The following is a 27,496-nucleotide window of genomic DNA, read 5'->3' on the forward strand; positions in this document are numbered from 1 at the left end:
ACTCCTGACCTCAGGTGATCCACCCGCTTCAGCCTCCTAAATTGCTGGGATTACAGGCGTGAGCCACCACACCCAGCCACCTTTTGGGGTTTTAATTAAGAATTTTTATGATTCTCTTTTCTCACCTATATTAACATACCAATTATTCTTTTCTTTTTTTTTTTGTTTTAGTGGTTGCCCAAGAATTTGCAAATATGCAATTTACATTTTCAAATAATCCAATTCAACTTTCAAATAACACTATACTACCTCATGAACAGTGCAGGTACCTTATAATAACAAAATATTCCTAATTCTTCCCTCTTGTCCCTGCTATCATTGTTGTCATTCATGCCACTTATACATAAGCATATATTATTAACTTTACCAGCATTTCTTAGTTTTCACCTTAGGTGGGACAGGATGGCTAAAGAGGCTAAAGTTGGGTATTTTTCTTTCCACAGCAAGGTTAGGCTTTAATAAAACCCCAGTAGGTTAGGCTCCTACCACTTCAGGCCTTACTCCCAGAGACTCTGATTCGCCTAGTCTGGGGTACAAGCCAGGGATCTGTATTTTAAAAAGCTCCTCAGATTAGCTGGGTGTGGGGGCTCACACCTGTAGTCCCAGCTACTTGGGGGACTGAGGCAGGAAGATAGCTTTAGCCTAGAAGGCGGAAGTTACAGTGAGCTGAAATCATGCCACTGCACTCCAGCCTGGGCGACAGAGTGAGACCCTGTCTTAAAAAAAAAAAAAAAAAGAGCTCCTCACAGAATTCAGATGCTTATGGCCAGAAGCAGAAGACCACACTTTTGGAGCTGCACCAAGCTCTTTGCTTAACATTACAAGGGAAAGCCTCATATCACCACCATTCCCTCCTCAAGACTCTCAATACCACCCCATGCCCCATTCACGCAAAAAAATCTGGAGGTTCATTGCTCCAATGTCTAATTTGGTTCTTTCCTTCCCCACCTTTTTCCCTGGGCTCTTATCACTCCCACACTAATGCATATCTAGTTTTACACAAGAGGATGTTTTCGCAACAGAATCTAGAACTTGGGGTGTTTGTTAATTATACAACAAATTCAAATTAAAGATCAACATCATACAGAATTAGGGACACGTGGGTCATGCTATGACATATTCCAGATACCTGTCTTTTCAACAATCACCAGCAATAGTGTGTTAACATTGAATACAAGTTGGGACAAGAAATATACATCATGTGCCTGGAACATCTTGTCATACAAGACAGCAAATAAACCATCACACTACAAGATTTTTGTCAAGAGCTCACTGTAACCTCCGCCTCCCAGGTTCAAGTGATTCTCCCACCTCAGCCTCCCAAGTAGCTGGGACTACAGGCACACGCCATCACACCCTGCTAATTTTTGTATTTTTTCGTAGAGACAGGCTTTCACCATGTTGGCCAGGCTGGTCTCAACCTCCTGACCTCAAGCGATCCACCATCCACTGGGATTACAGGCGTGAGCCACCTCGCACGGCCTGTGTAATTCTATTTATATGACATTCTGGAAAGGGCAAAACTATAGGAACAGAAAACATCAGTGTTTGCCTGGGGTAGAAAATGGGAGGGTATGACTGTAAAGGATTTGGCGAGAGGGTTGGAGGAGTGGTAGAACTAAATCTTGATTATATGCATTTGCAAAACTCATGGAAATGTATACCTGGAAGAATAGATCTGGAGCTCAGGAAAGAAAGATGAGGTTTGGAAGTCAATTACCAGGCAATAATTAAAGTCCCAATAATGGGCACTATAGTCCAGGGATAGCATATAGCATGAGAAGAGTCAACAGCTAAGGACAGAACCCTGAGGAACACCGACATTTAAGGGATACGCACAGGACGAGGTCTATTCAAGGGCAACTGAGAAGCAGCAGCTAGGAACATAGAGGAAAATCCAGCAGTGGGTGATGCCAAAGAGACCAAGAGGATCTTTAAGAGAAGTCAACAGTGCTAAATATTCCAAAGAGCTCAAATCAGAGGAAGACTGAAAATGTACATTAGATTTAGCAACTAGGAGGTCCTTGGTGATTTTGACAGAGGTTTTAAATCGGAGTAAAGGCCCCAGAAGTCAAATGCCAGTGGTTTGAGGAGAGAACGGGAGGTAAGCAAGTGGAAGCACTGAGCGCAGTGGCTCACCCCTATAATCCCAGCATTTTGGGAGGCCAAGGCAGATGGATCACCTGAGGTCAGGAGTTTGAGACTAGCCTGGCCAACATGGTGAAACCCCATATCTACTAAAAATACAAAAATTAGCTAGGCGTGGTGGCGTGCACCTGTAGTTCCAGCTACTTGGGAGGCTGAGGCAGGAGAATCACTTGAACCTGGAAGGCAGAGGTTGCAGTGAACCGAGATTATGCCACTGCACTCCAGCCTGGGCGACAGAGCAAGACTCCATCTCAAAAAAAAAAAAAAAGTAATTATCTACTTCACCCCATGTGTATAGCTGAAAGCTTAGCAAGTTAATGCTGAATCTGACATTAGAACTCAGGTCTCTTATTACATATATGTAGGGGAAACATATGTTCCAGTTTGGATGGAATAGTCCCTGTTCATGCCTGTTACCTTATTGTAATTATTAATACCACCTGCTTTTATTCTCAAATACATTGAGAAAAATTTGATTAAAGGTGATAACTTTCTATAGTCAGCCTACTTATATGGCATAGGCTTTGAGGCTGGCAAGCATTCTTGGTTACTTAAGATCATTTTTCTTTTATATTATCTCAAAGATTTAAGTCTCTTACATTCTCAAATGTCACTTTATAAATGAAGTAATGCACATACATAAAAGCAGGCCCCAGACTATAAAGTGCTAAACAAAGGTTAGGATTAAAAAGAATAATAACCTTTTAGGCAACAGTTTCTTAAATGTAACACCAAAAGCACAAGCAAAGCAAGAAAAAAATAAACTGTACTTCATCAAAATTAAAAACTTTTGTGCATTAAGAGATATATCAAGAAAGTGAAAAGACAACCTACGGAATGGTAGAAAATATTTACAAATAATATATCTGATAACGGTCTGGTATTCAGAGTATGTAAAGAACTTTCTTTTGGTCAATAAAGGGTTTAAAAAATAAAAACAAGAAATAACAAAAAAGAACTCTCAACAACAAAAAGATAAACAACTCAATCTTAAAATGAGCAAAGTACTTAATAGACATGTCTCCAAAGAAGATACACAAATGGCCAACAAGTACATAAAATGACACTGAACATCAGTAGTCATTAGGGAAATGAAAATGAAAACCACAATGAAGCCAGGCACTGTGGCTCATGTCTGTAATCCCATCACTTAGGGAGGATGAGGCAGGAGGATGGCTTAAAGCCAGAAGTTCAAGGCCAGCCTGGGCAACAAAGTGAGACCCTGTCTCTACAAAAACAAAAAATTGGCCTGTGGGCCAGGTGGGGTGGCTCACGCCTGTAATCCCAGCACTTTCGGAGGCTGAGGCAGGCGGATCACTTGGGGTCAGGAGTTGAAGACCAGCCTGGCCAACATGGTGAAACCCCATCCCTACTAAAAATACAAAAATATGCTGGGCATGGTGGCGCGTGCCTGTATTCCCAGCTACTTGGGAGGCTGAGGCACGAGAATCGCTTGAACATGGAAGGCAGAGATTACAGTGAGCCAAGATCGTGCCACTGCCCTCCAGCCTGGGCAACAGAGCGAGACTCTGTCTCAAAAAAAAAAAATTTATCCTGTGCAGTGATGTGCACCTATAGGCCCACTTACTTGGGAGGCTGAGGCAGGAAGATCCCTTGAACCCAAGAGTTCGAGGTTGCAGTGAGCTATGTTTATGCCACTGCACTCCAGCCTGGGTGACAGAGGGAGACCCAGTCTCTAAAATGAAACACAGCCAAAAAAAAAAAAAAAGGCCCAAAACAATGAGATACTACTTCACACCCATTAGGATGGCTATAAATTTTAAAAAGGAAAATAAATGTTGGCAAAAATGTGGAGAAATTGGAACCCTTGAATATTGCTGGTGGAAATGGAAAATGAGACAGCCACTACAGAAAACAGTTTGAGAGTTCCTCAATAAGTTAAATGTAGAATTATCATGTGACCCAGCGATTCCACTTCTAAGCATACATCTAACAGAATTGAAAACAAGTGTTCAAATAAAAACTTACACATGAATGTGTATACAAAATGTGGTCTCGCCATATAATGAAATTATTCAGTCATGAAAAGGAATGAGGCTGGGCGCAGTGGCTCATGCCTGTAATCCCAGCACTTCGAGAGGCTGAGGCGGGCAGATTGCCTGAGGTCAGGAGTTCGAGACCAGCCTGGTCAACATGGCAAAACCCCATCTCTACTAAAAATACAAAAATTAGCCAGGCATGGTGGCACATGCCCATAGTCCCAGCTACTCAGGGGCTGAGGCAGGAGAATCACTTGAACCCCCAAGGTGGAGGTTGCAGTGAGCCAAGATCGCACAACTGCACTCCAGCCTGGGTGATAGAGCAAGACTCTGTCTCAAAATAAAATAAAAAAATAGAAGGGAATGAAGTACTGCTACATGGTAAAACATGGATGAACCTTGAAAACATTATGCTAACTCAAAGAAGCCAGTCACAAAAGGCCACATATTGTATGATTCCATTTATATAAGATATTCAGAATAGGCAAATCTATAGAGATCCCTGTTCCCCCTTCCCCTTAGATCCTGGGAACCACTACTTTACTTTCTGTCTCTGTTTATCCATTCATCTGTTGATGGACATTTAATGTGTTTTCATCTTTGCCTATCGTGTACAAAATTTTCTTTCAACATGTGCTTTCCATTCTCTTGGTATATACCTAGAAGTGAAATTGCTGGGTCATATGGTAATTCTATGTTTAACTTTTTGAGGAACCGCCCAGTGTTTTCCACAATGGCTACATCATTTTACATTCCTACCAGCAATGCATGAAGATTCAATTTTCTCCATATTCAGCATTTATTTTCATCTTTTTAAATTATAGCTATCCAAAGGGATGTGAAGTGGTATCTCATTGTGGTTTTCATTTGCTTTTTTCTTTTCTTTTTTTGAGATAGAGTCTTGCTCTGTCACCCAGATTTCAGCTCATTGCAACCTCCATCTCCCAGGTTCAAGTGATTCTCCTGCCTCAGCCTCCCAAGTAGCTGGGATTACAGGTGCCCACCACCACACCCAGCTAATTTTTGTATTTTTAGTAGAGACGGGGTTTCACCATCTTGGCCAGGCTGGTCTCGAACTCCTTACCTCATGATCCACCTGCCTTGGCCTCCCAAAGTGCTGGGATTACAGGCGTGAGCCACCGCACCCCGCCTTCATTTTCTTAATGATTAATGGCAAGTATCTTTTCATGTGCTCTTTGGCCGTATCTTCTTTGGAGACATGTTTATCAAGTTCTTTGCTCATTTTAAATTGGGTTGTTTGTCTTCTTGTTATTGAGTTGGGTTTTTGTTTTGTTTTTTGAAACAAGGTCTTGCTGTGTCCCCCAGGCTGGAGTGCAATGGCTCGATCTCGGCTCACTGCAGCCTTGACCTTTGGGGCTCAAGAGATCCTCCCACCTCAGCCTCCCGAGTAGCTGGGACTACAGGCAGGTGTCACCATGCCTGGCTAATTTTTGTAGTTTTTGTAGAGATGGGGTTTCGTTACGTTGCCCAGGTTGGTCTTGAACTCCTAGGCTCAAGCTATCTGCCTACCTTGGCCTCCCAAATTGCTGGGATTAGAGGTGTGAGCCACTTCGCCAAGCCTGTTTTGCCAGGGAGGGGGGAATGATGATGAAAACGTTCTGGAATCAAATAGTGCTGATGGCTGCATAACATTGTGAATATACTAAAAATCATGGAATTGTACACTTTCAAATGGTTAAAAGGGTGGATGTTATGTTATGTGAATTTTACTTCAATAAAGAAAAATTTAAAGAAGAATATACTTAATGAACAACGAATACTCAGTTCTTTTTTTAAAAATGTTAGTTCTGCAGCCAGGTGCAGTGGTTCACATCTCTAATCCCAGCACTTTGGGAGACCGAGGCAGGAGGATTGCTTGAGGCCAGGAGTTTGAGACCAGCCTGGGCAACAAAACAAGACCCCATCTCTACAAAAAAAAAAATTTTTTTAATTAGCCAGACATGATGACATGTGGTCGCAGTCCCAGCTACTCGGGAGGCTAAGATGAGAGGATTGCTTGAGCCCAGGAGTTCAAGGTTACTGTGAGCTATGATATGGCCACTGCACTATAGCTTGGGCAACAGAGTAAGACCCTGTCTCTAAATAATAATAATAATGTTATCTCATTGTTAGCATTATTGTTGCAATTATTTTTGTTTGCAAGGCCGGAAACTCTCTTCATCATTCATCAATTTTTGTCATGGAAGACAATGGTGAAATGGGATTCTTCTCATAGAAACTTGTGTCACCATCAAACTTGTTGTAATTTCCCCATTCTATTAATCAAGAACTCCCCAAGTAAATGAATCCAGATTTGCTAGCTGGTAGCTTTGTGTTTTGGCTGCAATCATCTGAAAATAGCTTTCCCTTTCGACCTCATTTTGTTGAGATAAGTTTAGGCATGAAACAGTAGTCAGGTGCAGTAAGTGGGGATCCTGAATCCCAGCAGATGAGGCTGGATGAGGACCTGACCTCAAGGATTCTTGTTTGTTTCCTCCACCCATCCACAACAGCATGCCTCTCTCCCTTATGCCCTCCCTCCTGCTGCACCCTTCCCACAACATCCTGTAATCCTTGCTTCTTCCTTGGCCTGCTTTCTCATGCTCCATTCTCTATGTCTAAACTAGAGAGAATTCTCTTAATTAAAACTGGAGCAGGGATGGATATTGAACATAAAGAACGGGATGGGGAGGGAGAGTGGGCTGGTGCGGTGGCTCACGCCTATAATCCCAGCACTTCAGGAGGCCGAAGCAGGCAGATCACTTGAGCTCAGGAGTTTGAGACCAGCCTGGGCAACACAGCAAGACCCCATCTCTACAAAAAATACAAAAATTAGCCAGGCATGGTGGCATGCGCCTGTAGTCCCAGCTACTTGGGAGACTGAGGTGGGAGGGTTGCTTGAGACCAGGAGGTCGAGGTTGCAGTGAACCAAAATCATGCCACTGCATTCCAACCTGGGTGACAGAGCAAGACCCTGTCTCAAAAAAAAAAAATTAAAAATTAAGAAAAAAAAGAACAAGGGGGAATCCAGAACGATGCTAGCTAATAGAGGCACGTGTGTTGCCAATTTGAAAAGACATCTGAGGCTGGGCATGGTGGCTCATACCTGTAATCCCAGCACTTTGGGAGGCCAAGGCAGGTGGATCACCTGAGGTCAGGAGTTTGAGACCAGCCTGGCCAACATGGTGAAAACCCATCTCTACTAAAAATACAAAAATCAGCCGTGCATGATAGCACGCACCTCAGGAGGCTGAGGCAAAAGAATCGCTTGAACCCAGCAGGCGAAGGTTGCGGTGAACGGAGATCGCGCCATTGCACTCCAACCTGGGCAACAAGAGCGAAACTCCATCTCAAAAAAAAAAGACATCTGAGAAGAGAACAGACAGCTGTCACTGCTGTGGCAGCAGCCCTGCCTCAGGTGTGTGGCCCCTCCCAGCTCCAGCCGCTTGACCTCTGCTGTCTGCCCTCTCCCATTCCCCTCCTGGGATACACATTTAGAGAACAACTGGCTCAGCAACAATTAGCCTTTTCAGAAATGCCAGTGAGTTGCCACTTCTTACTCCTGTGCTGGGGCTTTTAACCGTTTCAGGAGTGCCAGCTTCCCCATCTCCTCTCAGCTTCACAGGCAAGCCTGAGGGGCTGCGTGAAGACAAGTGGCTCTTGGTTTTCCTTACCTGGACCTGCAAGCCAACTATTAAAGTATTCAGGAGAGATGATCTTGCTGTGCAGGCACAGAACTGGACCAGACACAAGCCCAGATGGTGGAGGAGAGGGGGTGGGTTGGGGAAGCTTCCAGGGTCATCATGGGAAATAGCACAGAACATGGGCTCCCTTCTAGATTCCGTGTATTCCTGGGGACCTAGAAGCCAGGTGTCCTCCCCAAGCATCACAAGGGTTAGACCACTCTGCAGGGTATTTAGGAGTCCAGGGCACTTCTGTGTGTTACCCACAACCCAGATGGATGAAAATTGCAAGGTGTATACTTATTTGCTGCCTTGTTCTCTGAGGGACCCGTCTGCCTCCACTACCACACACTTCAGTCTTACATCCTGAAATATCTGACATCTGACATTCCCCCTGCAAGAGAAGTACAGAGAAAAGTGGAAAGTGAATGAATTATTTTGCATGCTGGGTAAAAGCATTTAAACAAATGGTGATTAAACCCAAAAATGTTTCACAAGACCTGTTTCACAATTTTTCTGCATTTATAATAAAGTAGATCAAGTCTTCTTATGACTCAGTCTTCATAAGACTCAGTCTTCACAGATCCCACCAGGAGATGCTCTGGAAAAGTTTCGACATGGAGATTGACATCTTTATTCATTCCTAATCCAGTTCTTGAAAAGAGTAAACAGAGATATGAACAAGAGACAAATACATTTATCCAGGGAGGCAAAACAGTATTCTCAAAGTCACCCAATCAACCAAGACAGTTTCTAGTGAAGACCTGATTCATCAACAAATCTTTTCTTCTTCTCCTTCTCCTTCTTTTTCCTTCTTTCTTTTTTAAGACAGGGTTTTGCTCTGTTGCCCAGGTGGGAGTGCTGTCATGATCATGGCTTATTGCAGACTTGACCTCCCAAGCTCAAGCGATCTTCCTGCCTCTTTTTTTTTTTTTTTTTTGTATTTTTTGGTAGAGATAATCTCACCATGTTGCCCAAGGAGTCTCACTATGTTGCCCAGGCTGGTCTCAAACTCCTGGGCTCAAGCAGTTCTCCTGCCTCAGCCTCCCAAAGTGCTGAGATTACAAGCATTAGCCATCACACCCAGCAATCAACAAGTCTTTATGTAATGCCCAAAATGTGCTCAATCCCAGTGCTAGGAGCTGGGATGGAGGCAACAAAGAAATTGACCTGCCCCATTTAAGTGTCATGTATGGTTCAAAAATTGTATGAACCATACATATTCAAACCATACATGGTTCAAAAATTAAATTTAAAAAAAAACTGACGTGCCCTGAAGAAGCTTATGGCTCATCCAGGGAAACCAAATTAACACAGGGTATCAATTGTCCATTGCTTTGTAACAACTAACCCAAAATTTAGTGGCTTAAAATAACAACCATGTACTGAGCTCACTAGTCTGTGGTTTAGGTGGGTATACTGCTGATTGGGGTGGGACTGGCTGATCTTGGCTGGACTCACTCAAGGAAGTTGGCTAGAGTCTGGCTGGTCTATGGTGGCCTCAACCAGGGCAATTCCTCTCTGTTTCATATGGTCTTTTATCTTCCAGCAGGCTCCCTGGGTTTGTTGTTGTGGTCGTGGCAGGATTCCAAGAGAAGGTAAAGGTCGATGAGGTCTCTTAAGACCTGGCCTCAAAACTAGCATGCCATCACCTCCAATGCATTGGACTGATCAAGGCAAGTCACCAGGCCAGCCCAGATTCAAGGAGGGGGAAAACAGACCATACATTTTCACAGGAGGATATGTAAAGTCACTTTGTAAAGGGAATAAATACAGGAAGGAAATAAAATTGGGCCACAATGACACAGGAAGTAACAAGAAAAACCAGCAAGTGGCTAAAGGCCACTCTGTGCTGGGAAGAAGTTGACCAGGTCCCAGGGCTAGAACCCAGGCCAGGCTTCTTGTCATAAGTCAGGGTAGCAAACCACTCATACTGCTCCCAGTCCCTCTGGGAAATAGTTAACATTTGTTGTAGGCCGACAGCCAGTGTCAGTTTCAAGAAGGCTTTTAAAGGTGGGTGGTGCTGGAGGTGGTTCCCAGGCTTGGAATGGGAGATCCAGCATCTCCTTTGGAACTCTCTGTGTCCTTCGCTCCTTAAACAAGCTAGATAGGCACTCCTGGGCCCCCCATTTTCCAGATGAAATTGGGGCCCTGTATGGAAGCTGCCAAACCGTTTTTGAGTCACTGAGGAAACCCTTAGATACTCTCTCCTCTGTGGAGACCTACAGACTTCCTGGATTAACCATAGCAGCCTATGCAGCCTGATCTCACATTGACTCTTCTTCTTCCTGTCATCCTTTGGCTATGATTTGGCTAGGAATGGATACAGATTTATTCTGATGGAGCAGGCTTTTGTTTACTCTCCAAAACCTTCAAGGAGTTTTGTGTGTGTGTGTGTTTTGCCCCAAAATTACATTTGTTATCTGTAGGAGGGTTGGTTTGTAAGGAACTTACCCTGCCATAAGCCACATAATTCAAAATAACTGTTAATTTTTTCCCCGAATTAAATCTGCTGTAAAAATTCTATGGTATGAGAGGCATCATACCATAGAATGAACAGAGTACTGGACTTTAAAACAGAATACCTGATTGTAAAAATTCCATATAATCTTGGAATTGAGAAGACCTCCTTAATTGTCGTTCAAAAATCCAAAAACCATAACAGAAAAGATTAAGAAATTCTACTACATAAAAAAAACCTATCCATATTAAAAGCCACCATATTCAAAAAGTCAAAATACAAACAGGGAAAAATATTTTCACATCACAGACAAATATCTAATCTGAATATATAAAGAGTCCCAAGTAATAAATAGGAAAAAGACCAATAACTGAAAAGAAAAAAATGGACAGAGGCTGGGCACAGTGGCTCATGCCTGTAATCTCAGCACTTTGGGAGGCTGAGGCGGGTGGATTACCTGGGGTCAGGAGTTTGAGACCAGCCTGGCCAACAAGGCAAAACCCCATCTCTACTAAAAATACAAAAATTAGCCAGGCATGGTGGCGTGCACCTGTAGTCCCAGCTACTTAGGAGGCTGAGGCAGGAGAATTGCTTGAACCCAGGAGACAGATGTTGAAGTGAGCCAAGATGGCGCCACTGCACTCCAGCCTAGGAGGCAGAGCAAGACTGCCTCAAAAAAAAAAAAAAGGACAAAGAATATGAACAGACTTCAAGAAAAGAAACTACAAATGGTTCTTAACTATGTGAAAAGATATTAAAAGATAAAAGCAAAGACCAGGCGCAGTGGCTCATGCCTGTAATCCTAGCACTTTGGGAGGCCGAGGCAGGTGGATCACTTGAGCTCAGGAGGTAGAGACCAGCCTGGCCAAAATGGCAAAACCCTGCCTCTACTAAAAATACAAAAAAATTAGCTGGGTGTGGTGGCGGGTGCCTGCAATCCCAGCTACTCGGGAGGTTGAGGCAGGAGAATCTCTTGAACTGGGAGGAGGAGGTTGCAGTGAGCCGAGATCATGCCACTGCGCTCCAACCTGGGCAACAGACCAAGACTCCATCTCAAAAAAAGAAAAAAAATTAAATAACTGGTGATCAACTGGATACAGAGTAGGACTAAATACAACTGTGAAAATCTAGGGACGTGAATCAGAATTTTGAGGTCTCATCTTAGATAAAAAAAGGAAAATTGTAAAAAGGACAAACAGGCCATTGCTTCTGATAATGAGTGTCAAGGACATAATATTAGGAACCATGTTTATTGAAATCATATAAACATGAAGGACAATGCTGAGAAATATTATTCTTTTATTACAAGACCCTAAAAAACTGCTGTTTAAAATCATACCAGGGAAAAAGAGGAATTAATTTGGAGGAATCACACTTCCCGATTTCAACACTTACTACAAAGTTACAGTAATCAAAATAGTGTGGTCTTGGCATAAGGACAATTGAGAGTCCAGAAATAAACTCATACATCCATATCCAATTGATTTTTGACAAGGACGCCAAAACCATTCAGTGGGGAAAGAATGATCTCTTCAATAAATGGTGCTTGGTAAAATGTAAAAGAATGAGTTTGGACCGTTACTTTACACCATATACAAAAGTTAACTAAAAATTGATCAAAGACCTACATATAAGAGCTAAAATCAGGATGGGCGTGGTAGCTCATGCCATCTATAGGTTCAGCAGTCTGTAAACAAAAAATGGCATAGTACTTGGGAGACTAAAACTCTGTCTACCAAAAAGAAAGGGGGAAAATGATAACATTGTATTGTAAGATTTATAATGACTCTGCCTCCAAGAAAAAAAAAAATAGGCCAGGCGTGGTGGCTCACGCCTGTAATCTCAGCACTTTGGGAGGCTGAGGCGGGTGGATCATGAGGTCTGGAGTTCAAGACCAGTCTGGCCAAGATGGTGAAACTCCATCTCTACTAAAAATACAAAAATTAGCCAGGCGTGGTGGTGGGCACCTGTAATCCCAGCTACTCCAGAGGCTGAGGCAGGAGAATTGCTTGAACCTGGGAGGCAGAGGTTGCAGCGAGCTGAGATCGCGCCACTGCGCTCGAGCCTGGGTGACAGAGCAAGACTCCCTCTCAGAAAAAAAAAAAAAATATATATATATTATATATATGTGTATATATATAATATATATTATATATGTGTGTATATATATAATATATATTATATATATGTGTATATATATAATATATATTATATATATGTGTATATATATAATATATATTATATATATGTGTATATATATAATATATATTATATATATGTGTATATATATAATATATATTATATATATGTGTATATATGTGTGTATATAAAATATATACATTATATATGTGTATATATAATGTATATATTATATGTGTGTATATATAATATATATTATATGTGTGTATATATAATGTATATTCTGTGTGTATATATAATGTATATTCTGTGTGTATATATAATGTATATTCTATGTGTGTATATATAATGTATATTCTATGTGTGTATATATAATGTATATTCTATGTGTGTGTATATAATATATATTATGTGTGTGTATATAATATATTATATACGTGTGTATATAATATATTATATACGTGTGTATATAATATATATTATATACGTGTGTATATAATATATATTATATACGTGTGTATATAATATATATATTATACGTGTATATATAATATATATTATATATGTGTATATATAATATATATTATATATGTGTATATAATATATATAATATATGTGTATGTATATATTATATATGTGTATGTATATAATATATATTATATATGTGTATGTATATAATATATATTATATATGTGTATGTATATAATATATATTATATATGTGTATGTATATAATATATATTATATATGTGTATGTATATAATATATATTATATATGTGTATGTATATAATATATATTATATATGTGTATGTATATAATATATATTATATATGTGTATGTATATAATATATATTATATATGTGTATGTATATAATATATATTATATATGTGTATGTATATAATATATACATATGTGTGTATATATTACATATATATGTGTATATATTACATATATAATATATGTGTATATATAATGTATATTATATATGTGTATATATAATGTATATTATATATGTGTATATATAATGTATATTATATATGTGTATATATAATGTATATTATATATGTGTAAATATTATGTATATTATATATGTGTATATATTATATATGTGTATATATGTGTATATATTATATATGTGTATATATAATATATATAATATATGTGTATATATAATATATATAATATATGTGTATATATAATATATATAATATATGTGTATATATTATATATATTATATATGTGTATATATTATATATATTATATATGTGTATATATTATATATATTATATATGTGTATATATTATATATGTGTATATATAATATATATTATATATGTGTATATATAATATATATTATATATGTGTATATATAATATATATTATATATGTGTATATATAATATATATTATATATGTGTATATATAATATATATTATATATGTGTATATATAATATATATTATATATGTGTATATATATATTATATATAGAGAGAGAGATAGAGAGAGAGAGAAAGCAATGAGAAGTCAATGGAAATATTTGAAGCTTGCTATTGTCCTTGACACATACTATCCCAGCAGCAGAACTAGAAGACTATCAGTGAAGAGCATACGACAGGACAGAGCTGAGTACTCAAGAATTGAGGGTCCCTTGCAGTTGTCACTATGTGGGGCTTTCATTTTGGTGAAACTTCCAAACTGTTAATAAGATAAGGAGCCCAACTGAAAGATGCTGAACATATTAAATTTGCTGAGCAGCAGATACCTGCATTAGTTTGGAAATACAGTCTTTCCCCAAAATGTTTCAGCTGTTCATATATATATTATATATAATATACACACACACACACACCCCTCCATATACATTATATATATATATATATATATATATATATATATATATATATATGCACTGGGTATGCACAGAGGATTCTGAATGGCTCTAACAGCGGGTGTGATGGTTAATTTTATGTGTAAACTTGACTGGGCCACAAGATGCCCAAATAGCTGGTTAAACACTATTTCTGGCTGTGTCTGTGAGGGTGTTTCCAGAAGAAATTAGCATTTGAATTGGTGGACTGAGTAAAGGAGGTGGCCCTCCCCAATGTGGGTGGGCATCTGTTGAGAACCTGAATAGAACAAAAGGCAGAAGAAGGTTGAGTGAACTCTGCCTGACCCTTTGAATTTGGACATGGTTCTTCTGTCCATGGTGCTCTCGTTCTTGGGCCTTCAGACCTGGAATGGAATCTAAACCATCAACTCTTCAGCTCTCAGGCCTTTGAAACACACCACTGGTTTTTTTGGGTCTCCAGCTTGCAGATGACAAATTATGGACTGTCTCAGCCTCCATAATCTCATGAGCTCTTATATACATATAAAGAGATATTACATGAGCTCTTTATATACATATAAAGAGATATTATATATTATATACAGATTATTATATATAAAGATATATATCATATATAATATATGAAGATATATTATGTAAAAGATATATAGTATATATAATATATCGATATATAATATATATAATATATTATACATAAAGATATATATTTATAAATGGAAAAAGAATATGAACATATATATTATATAAAGATATGTTACATATTATATTATATATTATACATTATATATTATATATAAAGATATATAATATATAAAATATATATTAAATATAATACATATAAATATATATTAAATATAATACATATAAAGATATATAATATATAATACATATAAAGATATATATTATATATAATACATATAAAGATGTTATATATAATACATCTAAAGATATATATTATATATTACATATAAAGATATGTTATATATAATACCTATAAAGATATATATTATATATATAAAGAGATTTATTTTGAGGTATTGGCTCATGAGAGCCAATTATATATGTATTATATATAATCAGTCTTTTCAAAACCCTCTTGTCGAGATACCCCATGGTTCCCCACTGCAATGAGTAATAAATCCAACTTGTTTAACTACAGGTGTTTTCCTGGTGGCCCTTGACTGGAGGGCATTGACAATATATATTAATTATATTTCTCAAAAGCAAAAAGCAATACAAGCTATTTATATGTTTTTCTTCGTTTTTATAAAGCAAACATTTTTGTAACCACACTGGGTCAAGGAATAGAACTTTATCAGCTATCCCAGAGGCCCTCCACATGTCCCATTTCAATTATCACCCACTCCCTCTCCCAAAAAGTAACCACTCCCCAAACTCTTGTAGTAATCATTTCCCTGTTCTTTACAGTTTCATCACTAAGTGTGTATCCCTGGACACTATAGTTTATTGTTGCTCATTTCTTAAAATTTGGGTTCAAGCAATTTGATGTCTTTTTATAGTTTCTTTTCATCTACAAGTTTTCCCTCCATCCCTTTCTTTTCCTTATAGATTTTCTGTTGAAGAACCCAGGCCTTTTGACCCACAGTCTTCCAAAGTCTGAATTTTACTGACTGCACATTCATGTTGCAATTCACGTCCCTACATCCTCTGTATTTATTGCATATTGGCTGCTGGTTCCGGAGGCTTGGTCAGCCTCTGATGCAATCCCTTTGACAACACTATAGGTGCTGTTGTGTTCTTTCATCAGGAGTCACATGATGTCTGATTTTCTCTCCTTTTATGATGTCAGCAGTTGTTAGGCACAATGTTTAGATCTATTAATTTATTGGTGACTACAAAATAATGACACTAATTCTATAATTTCTTTTTCACATAATAATTGAATTTTTTTTTTTTCGAGACGGAGTTTCGATCTTTGTTGTCCAGGTTGGAGTGCAGTGGCGTGATCTCGGCTCACTGCAACCTCTGCCTCCCGGGTTCAAGTGATTCTCCTGTCTCAGCTTCCTGAGTAGCTGGCATTACAGGCGCCCGCCACCACGCCTGGCTAATTTTTGTATTTTTAGTAGAGACGGTTTCACCATGTTGGCCAGGCTGGTCTCGAACTCCTGTCCTCAGGTGATCTCGGCCTCCCAAAGTGCTGGGATTACAGGCATGAGCCACTGTGCCCAGCTGGAGTATTTTTAAGAGATACTTCTTTCTAATCTATTTGGTTCTTTTTAGGTATAGTTCATATAGGACAGGTAGAATAAATTCTTGATTTTTTTTTGAGACAGATTCTTGCTATATTGTCCAGGCTGGAGTGCAGTGGTGTGATCTCAGCTTACTGTAACCGCCACTTCCTGGGTTCAAGCGATTCTCGTGCCTCGGCCTCCTGAGTAGCTGGTATTACAGGCGTGTGCCACCACACCCAGCTAATTTTTGTATTTTTGGTAGAGACGGGGTTTCCCCTTGTTGCCCAGGCTGGTCTCAAACTCCTGGCCTCAAGTGATCCACCCACCTCAGCCTCCCAAAATGCTGGGATTACAGGCGTGAGCCACTGCGCCAGGCCTTTTTTCTACCATTTAAGCCATTTTGAACTGCATAAGTCACTGGTTTTTAGTATATTCACAAAGCTGTTCAACCATCACCACTATCTAATTCTAGAATATTTCCATCACCCCTAAGTAAACTCTGCATCTCCCAATTCTCCCTGCCCCACATTCCCTGGCAACCTCTCATCTACTTTCTGTCCCTATAAATTTACCTATTCTGAACTTTTCATACACATGGAGTCATACAATACACGGCCTTTTGTGTCTGGCTTCTTTCACGTAGCATGCTTTCATGGCTTGTTTATGTATATAGCATAAATGCAAGTTATAGTTTAAGTAGAAAATATAAATCACTACAAGAATGATTGAGCACCAAATTTCTCATCCCCCCGGCCGCCGCTGCACAAAGCAGGTTGCCGCAGCTGACTTCAGCTTGGTTGTTCCTTGCAGTAGCCTGAAGCTCCTGGTGAGCGGGAGCCACGGTGCATGAACAGCAACTGCTGGCCACTACGCAATGCTTCAGGAAGAAAGCTGGTCTGGGGTGGGGTAGGGAGGTCACATCCCAAGGTGTGTCTCCCTTCAGCTCCTGGCTATGTGGGTTCAGCCTCTGCCATACTTGGCATCACCACCACTCTGCCATCTCAGATGGACAGGGGCTTTCAGCATTGAGATGTGGGTTCTAATGTGATTGTAGAACCCACGCCAGGGCATGAAGAGTGAGCAGCAGATTACAACTGCTGAGCTGAGAACCCCTCTCCCCACAAAACTGTGACCAGAGCCTACCCACTTGGACTTCAGCATCTAATGCTATCAGTCCCAAATGAAAGACTGTCTCTCATCCTTCAAGGAAGGCTTGGCTCAGATAGTCTCAAGACCTGGAGCCGGGCGTGGTGGCTCACGCCTGTAATCCCAGCACTTTGGGAGGCCGAGGTGGGCGGATCAGGAGGTCAGGAGATCGAGACCATCCTGGCTAACATGGTGAAACCCCATCTCTACTAAAAATACAAAAAAATTAGCCGGGTGTGGTGGCAGGCGCCTGTAGTCCCGGCTACTTGGGAGGCTGAGGCAGGAGAATGGTGTGAACGCCGGAGGCAGAGCTTGCAGTGAGCCGAGATCGCGCCACTGCACTCCAGCCTGGGCGACACAGTGAGACTCCGTCTCAAAAAAAAAAAGACCTGGAAATCTCGCGGTGCCCACTCCCCAACCCAGCCTCTGGACCCCACCTCCCGTATGCATCTGTCTGGTAGAGTTCTGACCACAATGAATTGAATGATGTGTTTATGTGTCAGTTCCCTCAACCATTTTGGGAGGTTCTTGAAAGCAGGGACTGTACTATATTCACTTGATACCCTTATTGCCTAATTCGGAGAATACGCTTCATCAATTTGTGATAAGTTAGAGAGGGCGTAAGTCAGCACAGTGATTAGGAGTCTTGTCTCATGCCTGTAATCCCAGCACTTTGGGAGGCTGAGGCAGGTGGATCACTTGAGCTCAGGAGTTTGAGACCAGCCTGGGCAACATGGTGAAACCCCATCTCTACAAAAAAAAAAAAAAAAAAAAAAAAAAGCTGTGGTGGCGTGTGCCTGCGGCCCCAACTACTCAGAGGCTGAGGTGGGAGAATCGTGTGAGCCCAGGAGGTGGAGGTTACAGTGAAACAAAATGGTACCAGTGCACTCCAGCCTGGATGACCTGGGGACCCTGTCTCAAAAAATAGAGTCTTGTCCCTCAAACAGACTGCTTAAGTGCAGCGGCTACACCTCTTCACTGCTACCTCCTCTTCTTCCTCCCTACAGTAAAACCCAACACAGAATGGGGTTCAGGGTGAGTATTTAGACGAGTGATGAATCATTTATGATTCAAAAAATCTCCACCTATAGGATTTCTGAACAATATCTTTATTTAGCTCAGGTAGTTGTTCTTACACATTTTTGGATACCTGGGTTAGAATTTTCCCTATTACATTAAATCAATGGTTCTTAAGCTCTTATGCAAGCATGCAAGCTCAATGCAGGCTAGAATAGAAGGATTGTTGTGTACAAACATTAAAAATAGACATTTTATTACAAGAGTGTAGAGAAGGGAGACCAATAGAAGGTAATTGAAATACCCCCCCCTCACTCCAGCCCTAGTCCTGGTGCCTGGATATGTGCACTCCCTGTGCGCTCTGATCCCCGCAGACACAAGTCCCCAGCCCCTCCAGGACAGCAATAAGGGTCTTACAAGGCCAGAAGGCAGCCCTGTTTGTTCCTGCCTGCAGGAAGGGCAGAGGAATGTGATGTTCCCAGGAACTGTGTCCTAGACCCATAGGGTCAGATTGCTCAGCCTAGTTCAAGCAGTGAGACTACCTCTGTGCCAGTATCCTGGGCTGTCTCTTCCCTTCACTCTTGGCAGCTCCCAATTGTCAAAGATTGGACAGGGTCCTGGTTTGGCTAGTTCTAACTTGCTGAAGCCAGTCAGCACCCTCACAGAGCCAGCTAGGTACTGGGCCCAGGGGCTTCCAGAGAGTTCTTCAGAGCTTCTCAGAGGCCTAAGGACCTCCTAACCCTAGCAGGCCTCCTGGCTCAAGCACAACTTGGGAAGGCTCCATCAGCATCTATGTGGCCCTGTTTTACCTGTTGTCTCTGGAGGGTGTGCAGAGGCAAGTCCAGGGTAGGGGCAGGCAGGATCCCTTAGGCTTGCCCACAGCCCAGATAGCAAAACTGCAGCCAGATCAGTGTCTATGAGTTTCAGGCTGAACCTTAGACCACATAGGCCAGCCTGCTGGTCTGGCTGCCCAACCAGACCAGGTAGACAGAGTCTAGGCCTCAGGGCTCTCAAGCACCTAAGAGCGCAGCTGCATTTGGAAGTGCTCACAGCAGGCATGCTTCATGGTTAGCCCATAGATGGGGGTCATGTCCACCTTCACGCCCAGTGGCACGCTGAATTCCACCCGTTGCAGCAGGATAGCCAGGAAGAGAAAGACCTCCCAGCGGGCAATGGTCTCACCGATACACTTCCGCTTGCCCATGCCAAAGATAATCACCTTCTCACTTAACACCTTGTCGATAGCACCATCAGGGGTGAGAAACCGTTCAGGTAGGAACTCAGATGGGTTGACCCATAGCTTCCTGTAACCAGAGGGAGACAGCTGAAGTGGCAGTTCAGGGCTCAGAAGTGTCAAGTGAGTGGAGCTCCAGCCCCAAAGGATAGAGGACAGGCAAGCAGCCCATGGACAGGAGGATCAATGCAATGATTGTATTAATCATATATAAGAGCTTAAGAGGGTGGACCCAGCCTTTCCTCTGCATCTCTGAACTTACTGGTCATGGTTGATCTGCCACTGGTTTACAAAGACACAACGCCCCTTGGGGATGTAAAAGCCTTTCAAACTTGTGTCTCTTGTTGTGCTAGGGAGAAAGGAAGCTCAGTCAGGCTCAGGGCAACAGGCAAATCTCCCTGTCTCCCATGCCGTGTCCCTCCCACTAACCCTAATCAGGTATGTGGTCCGGAGTAAGATCAGTAACAGACAGCAGTGGCTCCATGGGGCCTTACCTGTGGGGGATGGTGAAGGGGACGAAGGAAGAGTGTCGGAAGGTCTCCAGGATGAAGGCCTCCATATAGGGCAGATGGGATCTGTCAGAGAGCCGGGGCCGCCGTGACCTGCCAATCACTGTGTCTGCAGAACACAGGGACAAGATGGATGCAGGGGCTGCCTAGACCTGGCCAGACCCCTGGCACTGACCCCTTTGAAGGGAGCCACTACCTACCTAGCTCCTCTTGGATCTTTCTCTGTACCCTGGGGTTCATCACCAAATACATGAGGCTCCAGGAGATAGCAGTTGTGACTGTGTCAAACCCTGGACAGGGTAGAACAGAAGAAGTTAGGCAGGCAGCAGCAGGTCAGGGCACTTGAGCACAGGAAGGACACAATGGGGTAACCATACCAGCTCCAAAGAGGTCCAAGACGATGTTAATGATCTTCTCATCTGACAGCTGGACATTGGCGTTCTCATCCAGCTGCTTCTCCTGACAGTGCTCAATCAGGCTGTCTGTGATGTCCCGGATGTGGCCCTTAGGTAGGGAAAGTCCACAGGTGAGCAAGATCTCAAACCCAGAGCTACCTCTCCATCCAGGTCTGGTCCTTCACTATTCCTAGCACATTTGTTCTGGAGGTGATGCCCCCTGAGGCTGTTGTCCCAGCTTCTCTCTGCCTCTGCAAGGCTCTCTCCTACTACCTTAGAATGCTGCTAGCCCCAACTCATGGGACATTTGACACACAGCGTCTTGTACTGTTATCATCTGGATGTGCTCTTTATCTTCTTTCTATTATGAGGCCAGGAGATGAACTCTTTAACTCTTCCTGGCTCCCTCAGCAACTGCCCCAGGGTCCTGCATGTAATGACTCTTCAGTGGCTATTGCTGTCTGTGGAAGCATGGAAGGGTTAGTCAAGATAAAGTTCTATTTCCCTGCCAAGGAAGAAGACTATTCCACAACTGGCTTCAAGATCCCAGGTTGAAGCCTTCCTGAGAACTTGCCAAGCCCCATGCAGTTCCTCTTACCTTTGACCTCCCAGGCCCTGATGCCATCTGCTTCCCACCACCCACCTGCCTTTCCCCAGACTGTACCTTCTCAAAGGTTTTGTAGTGCTCCTTGACCATCTTCTGCATGAAGCTGTAGAACTTCTCATTCAGGTCCTTGAAGGCATTCAGGGAAGGGTTGGGTAGGTAGCGAAGAATAGGGATGAAGTCAGCTGGGTTTCCAGAGCCAACCACCTCCCCGAAATTATTATTCAGGTTGACTAGGCTAAGCAGTTCTTGGTGGTTGTGGTCATAGCGCCGGCCAAAGCAAATGGCACAGATGACATTGGTCACTGATACCACCACATACCTGTAGGGGTTAAAGTGCCCAGGCCCTGCCATCAGCTCCTGCAACGTGCTTATCAGGACCTCAGCCTCCTTGCTCACATGCTCTTCCAGGTAGCAGGAGGTTGAGGAGGCTGGGTCAGAGGCAATGGAGAAACTTTTCAGGCCATTCTGGGCCAGGCGCCGGCGGGCAGCCCACACTGGTCCAGAGTCTGGGCTGAAGGACATGCTCTGACCATTACTGATGAGGGTGAAGGTGTAGAGGTCGGGCCGGCCCTTGAAATCATCGCCCTGCCGCACCAGGGCCTGCCGGATGGTGTCCAGGCCGCTCAGCACCACCACGGGTGTGGAGCCAATTCGGATCTGCAGCACGTCCCCATACTGCTGGCTCATCCTTGACAGTGCCAGGTGCGGGTTCTTTCCCAGGGTCAGCATGTGCCCAATCAGAGGCCAGCCCCATGGCCCTGGTGGATTCTTCAGGCCTTTGGGGACCTGAGGTCTTGAGGCCCTGATTACCCAGAATACCAGACAGAAGATGACAGAGGCCAGAAGAAACTCCGTGGCCGACATGGAGATTGGGAAAAGCATGATCAGTGTAGGGATCTTGGAGGTGGCTGCTGAGAGAAGGTGCAGGAAGAAAAAAAGTCAAGCCGTCAGATTGGGGGATGAGAAAAGCCAATATCTAGAGTGTCAGGGAAAGGGGAAACCTTTCCACCAGAACTGCTTACTGGGCATGAAGAAGAGGGTGAGGTGGGGAGAAGTTGTTGAACTACCACTGTGGGCTAAGAATTTCACAGTCCTTCTTCATTCAGCCCTGGCCACAAATCTATGAAGTAGCCTGCAATGAGGCTCAGAGAAGGTAAGTAACTTGCCCAAGGTCACACAGCCAGAAAGTGTTGGATGCAGACTCCCAAGCCAAGTTGCCTAATTCCAGAACGCTTTCTCTTAACTGCTGTACCAATCTAAACTGACATCTTCCAATGTCAATCTGTGATTTCCACATAGTACCAGTACTGTTATTTACTTCACATTTTCCTAAAATCAACTTTAAATCTACCTACATATCATCATAAACAATATCTATGTGAAAGTACAAGTTTGATTTTTCCCCTAACACATTAAAATAAACACATAATCAAGGTGTATCACCCCGAGTCCTACCCACCACACTTAGGAAAATCATGTTCTCAGGGGAATTAGGGATCATCTGATCCTTTAGCCTCATTTAACATTTGGGGGAAGCAGCGCTGACTTGTCCAAAGTCCCCCAGCAATCAGTGACAGAGCCAGGACTCAGACTCCTTAGGGACACTTCCCTGGAAATTTCCAGCTGCTGTCACATGTACCTCCTTTTGAAGAGTGGTCAGATCAATGAAGGAATTTTCCCAGAACCCTCAGTTCTCTGCTGCTCAATCCCAGGATGCAGGAAATCCCACCAGACCCCAGGACAGACTGAGGAAGAGATAGGGGACAGGATGGCCACTTCCCAAACCACATTGCTTTCAGCCCCAGCTCTCTGAGTTCAACTGATCCACAGTTTAAAGGCAGCTGGAGACCAGCTAGATTGAGCTCTTTAGTCAGAGAAATCCAGGCCAGGGTTTTTTTTTGGCTCAATTCTCAATGAATGAACAGTTTGGACCTCCCCCTTTTGCAGGTTACCAGAGAGCAGAGAATAAATGGAAGGTTCCCACTAGGCTGTAAGAAAACCCCAGACTGGAATCAGGGAAATCAGGAATGGATCTAAACTGAAAGGAAACTGAGGCAATACTTTCTCTGTAAGCTTGACCTAAAAAGGGTGTTTAAATTCATAAACCACTCTCTCCAACATATCAGGCATCTCTGCCTGTTACCCTGGACTAGAGGTCAGTAGACCCAACATTCTAGTCAAAGTGATCTTGGACTGCACATTTTACTTTTCTGGGGTCCAATTTCAACATCTGAGAGAGGGTAAGACAAGATCTCTCAGTTCAGAGTACCCAGCTGGATCCAGAGGGAAGAGAAAACCCAGATCTGCTGTGGGGAACCTGACAGTCTTACCAGTTAGGCTCCCCACAGGAGAACCTCACAAGACAGGGAGATGGATGGTTCCTACCACAAGTATTATAGTGGAGGGAGGCTTCCTGGAGGGGCTAAATATCAAAGCACACTAGATCCCTGAGTCAACAGGGGACAGTGCCAGGCTTTGGTGTGCTATGGTGTCCCCTTCTGCACAGTGGGTATCCCAAGGACCTGCAGCCTTTGTAAGATGGTAGGAGGCCAAGGGAGATGTGACTGGTGAGTTTTTAGGGACTGGTATTTCCAGCTCCCTGCAGTTGGCAATCTGTCACCCTGATTGTCTCCCAGCAAAGGACAAAGAAGATGGTCAATGAGATAGGAAAGGCCTGGGACTCCTGCACAGATCTGCCTCTATTGTCCCAGCTGTCTAGGACATCTCAGCACTGACAAGCCACCCTTAGGAGGGTAAAATCTGCCAGGGGTAGCTTCTTAGGCTAGGGCAGGGTACAGCTGGTAAGAACCCAGCCCACCCCCTCCATCCACCCTGTCCACCCAAGGAGAAGCCCCTGTCATCAGAAAGCCTGAGGGAGGGGCTGCACATATTCCAGCCTGCCAGGTGGCCTTGATGGGGAAGCCCCAGGGTAGGCAGGGAGACACTCACTAGGGGATGGAGCTGGAGCCTGGGTCCTGAAGTCCTGAATGAGATGCCATCTGTATCTAGAGGTCTGGTACCAGCTGTGGGACCATGGGCAAGTCCTCCTCTTCCCCTGGCCTCAGTTTCCCCACTAGGGGGCTAGACTGCCTGGTCACTAAAAACACTCTGAGCCTCCCTTTTTGGAGGTGCTAGACAGGTAGCTACCTAAGAAGTCCTGGAGGCACCAAAATGTTCCTTTTATTGGGAGAGAAAGGGCAAGCCAGAAGTCCCCCAGCAACTCACCTGAGGTACTGAGCTGAGCTGGGAAGGGTGGACTCTTGGAGCCTGGGATCACAAGGATCAGGGAAGGTTCCAAGGAACTGTCACCTTCAGGGTGAGGGTGAAGGCACTGCCACCTTTATAGGCGGGCTTGTACGTGTGGCCACGCCTCCTTCCCTGGAGCGAGCTGAGATGGAGGGAGAAGCAGCCTGAACCGGGCTGGTCTCTCTGGGATTGGAGAGAAAGGTGGCGGAGGGCGGCGGGGGTGGGGGGTCGGGTGGGCAAGAACCCACTATGGGACACATCTCGGTGCCTGTACATAGAGGGGTGAGGGCTGGGAACACCTGGAAGTCCCAATTCCAAGGCGTCCCAAGGGCAGTGCAGAACCCAGCCGAGGAGGGGGCTTGAGGGAGAAGTCCCAGGACAGCCCGAAGAGAGGGTACGGGAAGCTCCATCCTGGGGCGCGGGGACTCCTCTTCGTCATTTTTGCACCCACTGGAACGCTGGGCGTGCAGATGCCTCCCCAGCGCTACAGCCTACCAGGACTCGGCAGGCGGGGGCGGGGCTGCCCCGTGGTGACCTCCTTCCCGGGGTTACTGAGTCCCGGCTCGCGTGAGAAGCGCTGCGACCCCAGCCCTGAGGTCACGGGGGCCGGAAGGCCAGAGGCGCCGCGGGGCTGGACCTGTCCCCCAGAGCCCGGGCGACTAGCTGAGGTTCGCGCCTCTTGATTGAAGGATCGGAATGGATGGCGAAGGGGCAGGCTCGCTGAGCGCTCACTAGCGGCTCCTCGCAGCCTCTAGGATCGCCTTAGTGCTGATTGCAACGCGCGGTCCCTCCAGCCAGGACCCACCGGCCCTTGAGGGTCCCTCTTGGCTCCCGGGGTGGCTAGTGCTTTGATTGGCAGAGCACAGAAATCCGGCGGCGGGGGGCCACGGAAAGACTCGGGCCCAGGGACCACGGAGGGGGCACCTGGCGCGGAGCCCCCACCCTACCCCCGGCTAGCTTGCGTGCGCCGGCGACATCCCTCTAGGGGGCAGAGGTCAGGCGGCCCGTCCCCGCCCCACCTGGCCCGGAGGCGCGGTGCCCAGGCGTTGCGTGAGAAGGACCGGAGGCCCGCGCAGCCACCCAGCCGACCCATTCCCCGGCCCGGCGCGGGGGCTCGCAGTCACGCGAGGGGGGAGGGAGTCGGGGCGGGGCTCTTAAAGGGCCAGCCTCGCGCGCGGCGTGGGGTTGGGGTGGAGGGAGAGGAACTGTCGAAGGGTGGCGGGTGCGCGATTGAATAAGGGGATGCGGTGCAAAGGGTCTAGGTCTGCGTGTGGCTTCTGCCTGCGAGGAGAGGCAGCCTGCATGTGTCCGCATTTTCGGTCCACGCCTGTGGCACGACACGAAGCCCCAGTGCCATTTGGCATGGCCTAGCTGCCTGCCTCCGACGCTGTCCCGCCCTCCGGAACCTTCCTGTTACAGGGTTTCCAGGAAAAAAAAAGTTGTATTTGCGTGCCTAGCTCAACCTGGCCCCAGCTAACATCGTTACGCGCCATCCCCGACGTGCTCCCCAACCCGGTGGCACCACCATCCGTCGCTGGTCCAGGCCAGAAAATAATCCCCTCACCTCCCATTCCGGTCATATGCGGCCTCGTGCATTGCACAAATATTTACCAAGCAACTACTATGTGCCAGGAGCTGTTCGGAGGCGCTGGCGATTGACAGAGAAGGGAACACAGCTGACAGCACTCCTAATCTCGTGGAGTTTACATTCTGATGGAAGGAGACAAGTAATATGCCCCAAATCTAGAGAATGTGAGAGGGTAAAAAGTGCGGTTGAAAAAAATTAAACAGAAAAGGCGTACGGATTATGTGAGGGCAGATTGCAATTCAAAACAAGGGGGTCAGGGAAGGCCTTGCGGAGAGAGGCAGGAGTGTGGAGTCAAGAATCAATGTGCATAGATATCTGGATAAAAAGTGTACCTGGGCAGGTGCGGTGGCTCACGCCTGTAATCCCAGGACTTTGGAAGGCCGAGTCGGGAGGATCGCCTGAGGTCAGGAGTTCAAGACCAGCCTGGCCAATATGGCAAAACCCCATCTCTATCAAAAATACAAAAATTAGCCGGGCATGGTGTTGCTCACCTGTAATCCCAGATACTGGGGCGGTGAGGGGGGTTTGGGGGGAGTGGAGTCAGGCAGGAGAATTGCTTGAACCTGGGAGGCAGATGTTGCAGTGAGCTGAGATCACGCCACTGCACTCCAGCCTGGGTGACAGAGCGAGACTCCATCTCAAATAAAAGACTGCAACTGGCAGAGGGAATAAGCAAAATCAAAGCCTCCCGCCACCCCCCACCACAGTGGTTCTTGAAGGACCGAGCAGTACCAGGGATGTGCAGAGGTCATGTGACTGGGGAGTTCTCCTGGCATGTAGTCCAGGGGGATGGGATGCCCATGAGGCACAGCGCCCTGCCGCATGTGCAGGGAGCACCCCATTGAGAGACATGAGACTTCCTCTGTGCGAGATAGAGACATGGCTGGGGTGTAAGAGAAGCAAGGTCACTCGGGCTACTGTGCTAAGAATAGGAGGCACATTTCTCTGCTTGGCATCTGCTTTGGCATCTGTCCAGCTCCACTGCCACAACTCATCCAGGGCCCATCATTGCTCCCTGGAGCACTTAGCCTCCACCTAGGTTCCCATTTGCCTTTTGCTCCGTCCAATTACTTCTCCATCCTGTGGCACCCAGAGTGGTCCTGTCAAAAATGCAAAATCTCATTCCATCACCACCTTGCTTAAATTTCTTTGGTAGCTCCCACCACTCTGAAGGCAGGAATAAGAATCTTTAGCAGCTCTCCCTCTCCCTCTCCCTCTCCCTCTCCCTCCCTCTCCCTGTCCCCTCTTTCCACGGTCTCCCTCTGATGCCGAGCCAAAGCTG

At 44.5% G+C, this 27,496-nt stretch overlaps 1 protein-coding gene across 3 annotated transcripts, besides 29 other annotated features; it reads right to left on the reverse strand.

Annotated features, from left to right (window-relative positions):
* On the reverse strand, positions 18,707-24,693 carry CYP1A1 (cytochrome P450 family 1 subfamily A member 1). Of its 3 annotated transcripts, none has more exons than NM_000499.5 (7): positions 24,606-24,693; positions 21,438-22,288; positions 20,756-20,882; positions 20,579-20,668; positions 20,364-20,487; positions 20,132-20,218; positions 18,707-19,939 (listed from the first exon to the last, which is right to left on the reverse strand). In NM_000499.5, exons 2-7 carry the CDS (start codon positions 22,260-22,262, stop codon positions 19,654-19,656), a joined length of 1,539 nt encoding a protein of 512 aa, NP_000490.1. In that variant the 5' UTR covers positions 22,263-22,288; positions 24,606-24,693; the 3' UTR covers positions 18,707-19,653. The 3 variants fall into 3 exon arrangements, with proteins under 3 accessions (NP_000490.1, NP_001306146.1, NP_001306145.1); NM_001319217.2 differs by having other exon boundaries at positions 21,438-22,291; NM_001319216.2 differs by lacking the exon at positions 20,132-20,218 and having other exon boundaries at positions 21,438-22,291.
* Positions 22,960-23,360: a DNaseI hypersensitive site, noted in NCBI's record as "+0.9 DHS; the nucleotide coordinates are approximate for this feature". NCBI's record gives the evidence for it as "EXISTENCE:in vivo cleavage assay evidence [ECO:0001075][PMID:8382688]".
* Positions 22,960-26,530: a biological region, named in NCBI's record as "CYP1A1 5' regulatory region". NCBI's record gives its function as "regulatory_interactions: CYP1A1 | CYP1A2".
* Positions 24,401-26,305: a promoter, noted in NCBI's record as "-1612/+292 promoter; PvuII fragment". NCBI's record gives the evidence for it as "EXISTENCE:reporter gene assay evidence [ECO:0000049][PMID:8442004]" and "EXISTENCE:transgenic organism evidence [ECO:0001131][PMID:15037607]".
* Positions 24,463-25,638: a DNaseI hypersensitive site, noted in NCBI's record as "2.4, 2.6, 2.7, 3.1 DHS region; the nucleotide coordinates are approximate for this feature". NCBI's record gives the evidence for it as "EXISTENCE:in vivo cleavage assay evidence [ECO:0001075][PMID:8382688]".
* Positions 24,828-24,850: a protein binding site, noted in NCBI's record as "BTE". NCBI's record gives the evidence for it as "EXISTENCE:protein binding evidence [ECO:0000024][PMID:24382322]".
* Positions 25,148-25,163: a protein binding site, noted in NCBI's record as "RARE1 A1". NCBI's record gives the evidence for it as "EXISTENCE:protein binding evidence [ECO:0000024][PMID:8024563]".
* Positions 25,148-25,163: a protein binding site, noted in NCBI's record as "RARE A1". NCBI's record gives the evidence for it as "EXISTENCE:protein binding evidence [ECO:0000024][PMID:8024563]".
* Positions 25,152-25,172: a protein binding site, noted in NCBI's record as "DR4; also known as ER8-2". NCBI's record gives the evidence for it as "EXISTENCE:protein binding evidence [ECO:0000024][PMID:21646728, PMID:23041609]".
* Positions 25,156-26,530: a transcriptional cis regulatory region, noted in NCBI's record as "-1829 to -464; EcoO65I/EcoRV fragment". NCBI's record gives its function as "positive regulation of CYP1A1 and CYP1A2 promoter activity" and the evidence as "EXISTENCE:deletion mutation evidence [ECO:0005510][PMID:16505155]".
* Positions 25,182-25,205: an enhancer, noted in NCBI's record as "DRE3, also known as X-508". NCBI's record gives its function as "TCDD-responsive enhancer" and the evidence as "EXISTENCE:reporter gene assay evidence [ECO:0000049][PMID:9874250]".
* Positions 25,185-25,231: a protein binding site, noted in NCBI's record as "XRE-ER8". NCBI's record gives the evidence for it as "EXISTENCE:protein binding evidence [ECO:0000024][PMID:22837390]".
* Positions 25,203-25,242: a protein binding site, noted in NCBI's record as "PPRE2". NCBI's record gives the evidence for it as "EXISTENCE:protein binding evidence [ECO:0000024][PMID:15521013]".
* Positions 25,203-25,242: a protein binding site, noted in NCBI's record as "ER8; -502 to -541". NCBI's record gives its function as "positive regulation of CYP1A1 and CYP1A2 promoter activity" and the evidence as "EXISTENCE:protein binding evidence [ECO:0000024][PMID:19682433]".
* Positions 25,204-25,229: a protein binding site, noted in NCBI's record as "ER8-1". NCBI's record gives its function as "positive regulation of CYP1A1 and CYP1A2 promoter activity" and the evidence as "EXISTENCE:protein binding evidence [ECO:0000024][PMID:23041609]".
* Positions 25,238-26,437: an enhancer, noted in NCBI's record as "BRD4-independent group 4 enhancer chr15:75018414-75019613 (GRCh37/hg19 assembly coordinates)". NCBI's record gives its function as "activates an origin of replication core promoter dependent on BRD2, P300/CBP, MED14 and CDK7 cofactors, and independent of BRD4, by STARR-seq in HCT116 cells {active_cell/tissue: HCT116}" and the evidence as "EXISTENCE:reporter gene assay evidence [ECO:0000049][PMID:35650434]".
* Positions 25,250-25,425: a silencer, noted in NCBI's record as "NRE170; BstNI fragment". NCBI's record gives the evidence for it as "EXISTENCE:reporter gene assay evidence [ECO:0000049][PMID:8349622]".
* Positions 25,250-25,530: a silencer, noted in NCBI's record as "NRE275; ApaI/SacII fragment". NCBI's record gives the evidence for it as "EXISTENCE:reporter gene assay evidence [ECO:0000049][PMID:8349622]".
* Positions 25,270-25,349: a silencer, noted in NCBI's record as "silent region_6655". NCBI's record gives its function as "represses an Ori minimal core promoter by ATAC-STARR-seq in GM12878 lymphoblastoid cells {active_cell/tissue: GM12878}" and the evidence as "EXISTENCE:reporter gene assay evidence [ECO:0000049][PMID:35858748]".
* Positions 25,421-25,530: a silencer, noted in NCBI's record as "NRE105; BstNI fragment". NCBI's record gives the evidence for it as "EXISTENCE:reporter gene assay evidence [ECO:0000049][PMID:8349622]".
* Positions 25,445-25,463: a conserved region, noted in NCBI's record as "conserved region; human/mouse/rat conserved". NCBI's record gives the evidence for it as "COORDINATES:sequence alignment evidence [ECO:0000200][PMID:3409463]".
* Positions 25,488-25,507: a conserved region, noted in NCBI's record as "conserved region; human/mouse/rat conserved". NCBI's record gives the evidence for it as "COORDINATES:sequence alignment evidence [ECO:0000200][PMID:3409463]".
* Positions 25,530-25,689: a silencer, noted in NCBI's record as "silent region_6656". NCBI's record gives its function as "represses an Ori minimal core promoter by ATAC-STARR-seq in GM12878 lymphoblastoid cells {active_cell/tissue: GM12878}" and the evidence as "EXISTENCE:reporter gene assay evidence [ECO:0000049][PMID:35858748]".
* Positions 25,576-25,598: an enhancer, noted in NCBI's record as "DRE4". NCBI's record gives its function as "TCDD-responsive enhancer" and the evidence as "EXISTENCE:reporter gene assay evidence [ECO:0000049][PMID:9874250]".
* Positions 25,598-25,636: a protein binding site, noted in NCBI's record as "PPRE1". NCBI's record gives the evidence for it as "EXISTENCE:protein binding evidence [ECO:0000024][PMID:15521013]".
* Positions 25,668-25,686: a protein binding site, noted in NCBI's record as "XRE1; also known as DRE-983, X-992, DRE5". NCBI's record gives the evidence for it as "EXISTENCE:protein binding evidence [ECO:0000024][PMID:8120057, PMID:9102211]".
* Positions 25,673-25,687: an enhancer, noted in NCBI's record as "DRE5; also known as XRE1, DRE-983, X-992". NCBI's record gives its function as "TCDD-responsive enhancer" and the evidence as "EXISTENCE:reporter gene assay evidence [ECO:0000049][PMID:9874250]".
* Positions 25,736-25,759: an enhancer, noted in NCBI's record as "DRE6; also known as DRE-1056". NCBI's record gives its function as "TCDD-responsive enhancer" and the evidence as "EXISTENCE:reporter gene assay evidence [ECO:0000049][PMID:9874250]".
* Positions 25,737-25,758: a protein binding site, noted in NCBI's record as "XRE". NCBI's record gives its function as "negatively regulates induction by Ahr" and the evidence as "EXISTENCE:protein binding evidence [ECO:0000024][PMID:9388470]".
* Positions 25,737-25,758: a protein binding site, noted in NCBI's record as "DRE-1056, also known as DRE6". NCBI's record gives the evidence for it as "EXISTENCE:protein binding evidence [ECO:0000024][PMID:9102211, PMID:9388470]".

This window comes from Homo sapiens, chromosome 15 (genome assembly GCF_000001405.40).
Source record: "Homo sapiens chromosome 15, GRCh38.p14 Primary Assembly".
Taxonomy (NCBI): domain Eukaryota; kingdom Metazoa; phylum Chordata; class Mammalia; order Primates; family Hominidae; genus Homo; species Homo sapiens.